This window comes from Homo sapiens, chromosome 21 (assembly GCF_000001405.40).
Source record: "Homo sapiens chromosome 21, GRCh38.p14 Primary Assembly".
Classification (NCBI taxonomy): domain Eukaryota; kingdom Metazoa; phylum Chordata; class Mammalia; order Primates; family Hominidae; genus Homo; species Homo sapiens.
This window is the reverse complement of record NC_000021.9, coordinates 15,984,451-15,988,907: the sequence shown is the minus strand read 5'-3', so window position 1 is coordinate 15,988,907 and position 4,457 is coordinate 15,984,451. Positions and strand designations below refer to the sequence as shown.

At 36.3% G+C, this 4,457-nt stretch overlaps 1 annotated feature.

The window, feature by feature from the left end:
• Nucleotides 3,448-3,949: an enhancer, noted in NCBI's record as "NANOG hESC enhancer chr21:17357279-17357780 (GRCh37/hg19 assembly coordinates)". NCBI's record gives its function as "activates a minimal SCP1, AML or CMV promoter by ChIP-STARR-seq in naive H9 embryonic stem cells {active_cell/tissue: H9 hESC(naive)}" and the evidence as "EXISTENCE:reporter gene assay evidence [ECO:0000049][PMID:30033119]".

The window sequence follows — 4,457 nt, the reverse complement described above, 5'->3', positions numbered from 1 at the left end:
GAAATTTTCCAAAGCACACAAAAAGTATTTCATAGTTCCATAGGAATAAATAATACAAACCACAGAAAATAAAGCTATAAAATCTTTTTCATAGGTGGTAATATGTATATGATACAGTGATTTTAACAGGGTTTACCACAATCAGAAAGAAGGAAAATTTGGGAATTGAGATGTAGGTTTTTTAAAAAAGAGGAAAAAAGCCTGGTCTTTATAAACAGAAAAAATATATATTTTATTGGTAGGAAAGGAAAAAATAACAAAATCCATTTGACCACATCTATTCACTCTCACCTTTTCCTCTAATAAAATAACAACTGTGCTGTTCTAAAGGTGGTAGATTTATATTAATATTCCCCTCCCACCTGAACACAGGCCTAGGCTCCAGTATTAACTCTTTATCTGATAAAGGATGGCCAGGCAGAGGCTAACACACACATACCTTCTTTGCAAGTTCAACCTATGTCTAAGAATTCCTAGTGTTTAAGCCAAGTCATGTATTTATGTTGGTCTTAACTATATTTATAAAAATGGAGCAGAATTCCTCCTTTGATTCTATAATTCACTCTGAGTTCTGGGAGGTTTACATAAAGGTCAGCTGTTGTAATTGTTCACTTATTCAAGAATGTAGTTTAACCTTTTTATTGAGATCTTGGGATTCTTGATATATGAATTTTTTTTTTTCTCTAAAGCCTCTAAACAGACTAGGAAATAGTACAGGGTTTAAGTGATATAATTTCAAACCTGGAAGAGACCTTAGAGAAGATTCAGTTTCTTCATTTTTATAAATATGAAAACGAAGTCCCAGAAAACTAGAGTCCAAACTCATGCTTACACAGCAGTGCTGCAGGGTACAAAGAAAGACTGCAGGATTTGGAGGCACAGGCATCTGAATCCACATCATTACTCCACCATTTAGAACTGTGGGATGGATATTGGGCAAATCATTTAACCCTAGAGGAAGATATTTTGATGTAGTTAGTTAATTTACTCATGCACTTCAGTTTATCCATCCATAAAGTTGGGACAATAATCCTGGCTTTCAGGGTTACTGATAGAAATGTAGATAATGTATGAAAGTTTTTTAAATGTTAACCACAACCACGCAAGACCCTATCTCTAAAAATAAAATAAAATAATATAAAACAAAATTAAAAAAACAAAATATTAACCACTATTTTAATTTACTAGATGAAATTTCAGAAACCCTGTATCTCAGGACTTTTGCTCTTTTTAACAAAGAATATAATGTGAATACTAGTTTTAAAAGTCAGATTCAGATTTCTTAAATCCCTTTAGTAAAAAGCTCCTATTTCCTGGTACTATCCTCCAACAATATCATAATTAGGCCTAGATTATTATTATTTTTTTTTTACATTGAATGAGTCTTAGCAGTAGACTCAGAATACTCCAGAAAAAAGAGGCAATTAATTCAGGAAGTGCTGTACACTGTGGCTGTAGACTTGAGAGAAGGAGAGTTCATTGACACATGAAAGGTTTCTACAAAAAATCCTCCAGTAAGGAAATCTGTTTATATTAGCATCTCCAGTTTCTTTGGCAAAGGTAATACATCATATCTATTAAAACCTCCAAAGACTTGTATTACTTGGTCAAGCCCCACCCCACAAATGGCTTATGAAAATGTGGCTAGAGGCATAAGTTTACTGAAACGATTAATCAAACATAATGTCTTTAATTCCTTTTAAGTGTTAAGTAAAGAAAATATCAAGTCAATTCATTTATTTTTAATTTGAAAATTTCACACATGGGATGAGGAAGAGGGACAAGTGGGAAGAAACTGCTGAATGGGTACAAGGTTTTAACTTGGGGTGATGGAAATGTTTAGGAGCTAGATGGGGTGATGGTTCTACTACATTGTGAATGCATGAAATGCCATTAAATTGTTACTTTAAAATCGTTTATTATGTAGATTTCACCTCAATAAATTAGTTTTTAAAATTTTATACATACATAAAAGATTTCATTTCAAAATATTAAAACCTAAATATTTCAAGTGGCATATGAGAAACCAACAAAAAGTTTCACAGAATTAAAACATACATTACCAACTCAGAGCAAGCTTTCTTAATGGTCTTTAAAATGTCTGTATGTATTTGTAAAAATAAAAATCAATATTTCTTTTAAGCTCTGAAATTGCAGAAATTATATAAAGTCAATACTATAAAAAGAGGAATTTTCTACAGGTAGCTAGTATTTTACAGGCAGATTACAAACCCTCACAAAACACATATTGACAGAGATTGACTGTGGCTGCTGTAACTTAATCTCAGCATTCTGGTGATCTCAAATCTCTGGAGTCTCACTTCATGGTTTATGATACAGTTACATCACAATCCCTCAATAGAATTACAGCTTTGTCACTAATCTCTCCCTATCAGTTATCCTGTAAGGAAGGAAGCTGGAAGGCACCACCAGAAAGAGGCAATGGCATGAATGATTGCATTCAGTCTCTTTCCACAACAATATCTGTAAGTCTGGGAGTGATAAATGGCACCCAAGTTATAAATGAGCAACAAGGTCAGTAGCACCAAGCAGCCAAGAGTTCAAAGAAAAGTCACAGTTCTGACGGGTTCAAGAAAAGGCCACATACTGCTGGCCTGTATCACTAGAGATAAATCCTCCAAGACGCTTTACTGCAATTACAAAACAGAATTAGAAAAGCCCGTTATTGAAGGGCTAAGATTTTTGTCCAGGAATTGAACAAAGAACATTGATTATCATAAAAGTCATTCTTTTCCCAGAAAAATCTTGTATTTAACAACATTCTCTGACCAATCAAGAATCCTAGCGAAAAATATCTTCAAGATGTCAAATAATTCTTTGACACTGAAAGATGTGTAACTAAATAACATTGGTCTTTGTTTTCTTCTTGATCTTTTCTTTTTGTTCTCTTAAATATATCTATAAAGAATCCAGAAGAGACACGTACAGAAATGACCCTTCAGAACTGTTTATGGCTGTGTCTTCCTTTCTTTATGTATTTCCTTAGGTTAATTGCATAACATAAAAATGAGATCTTTCCTTATAAACCAAAATATACAAACCTTATAAGAATATAATTAATAAAAACCATTCACAGAGTGTTATAATGAAATGTCATCTGAGAAATCCTTTTTTTTTTTTTTTTTGCCATTTATGTAATGAAGATCCAGAAAACTTGGGGGTCTTTCTCAAGGTCATGTCACTGGTAATTGGCAGATTAGGATTAATATCACTGGGCACCTAAAGGCTACTCTTACTTTCTTTCCACAGAATAGAAGTTTCCCTCAACTAGGTAGCTACTGTCATCTGTCCTGTAGCATCTAGGTCTCTCACTGGATGGGCCATAGTTCTCAGTTTTGCATGGTCTATGGATTTATATTTCAATATTCTTTTTTATTTCTCATTTATTTGTTCATGAGGATCAAGACTAATTGCACCATATTGACAAATTTGCTAGCCAATTGTCATGCAAAACTGGGGAAGAGTACAAGAAGGGACCATCATTACAATCTTCACCACTCCTCAGAAAAATAAGCTTTATACAAAAGTGTCCGGCCTCTGAGCCCAAGCTAAGCCATCATATCCCCTGTAACCTGCACGTATACATGCAAATGGCCTGACGTAATTGAAGAATCACAAAAAAAAGTGAAACTTAAATGGCCTGTTCCTGCCTTAAGTGATGACATTCCACCACAAAACAAGTGAAAATGGCCAGTCCTTGCCTTAACTGATGACATTACCTTGTGAAATTCCTTCTCCTGGCTCATCCTGGCTCAAAAATCTCCCCCACTGAGCACCCTGTGACCCCCACCCCTGCCCTCCAGAGAACAACCTCCTTTGACTGTAATTTTCCTTTACCTACCCAAATCTTATTAAATGGCCCCATCCCTATCTCCCTTGGCTGACTTTCTTTTCAGACTCAGCCCGTCTGCACCCAGGTGAAATAAACAGCCTTGTTGCTCACACAAAGCCTGCTTGGTGGTCTCTTCACACGGACACGAGTGAAATTTGCTGCTGTCACTCGGATTGGGGGACCTCCCTTGGGAGATCAATCCCCTGTCCTCCTGCTCTTTGCTCCATGAGAAAGATCCACCTATGACCTCGGGTCCTCAGACCAACCAGTCCAAGGAACATCACACCAATTTTAAATCAGGTAAGTGGCCTCTTTTTACTCTCTTCTCCATCCTCTCTCACTATCCCTCAATCTCTTTCTCCTTTCAATCTTGGCGCCACACTTCAATCTCTCCCTTCTCTTAATTTCAGTTTCTTTCCTTTTCTCGTAAAGACAGGAGATGCGTTTTATCTGTGGACCCAAAACTCCAGCACCATTCACAGACTCGGGAAGACAGTCTTTCCTTTGTGTTTAATCACGCAGGGATGCCTGCCTGATCATTCACCCACATTTCAAAGGTGTCTGACCACGCCGGGACGCCTGCCTTGGTCCTTCACCCTTTGCG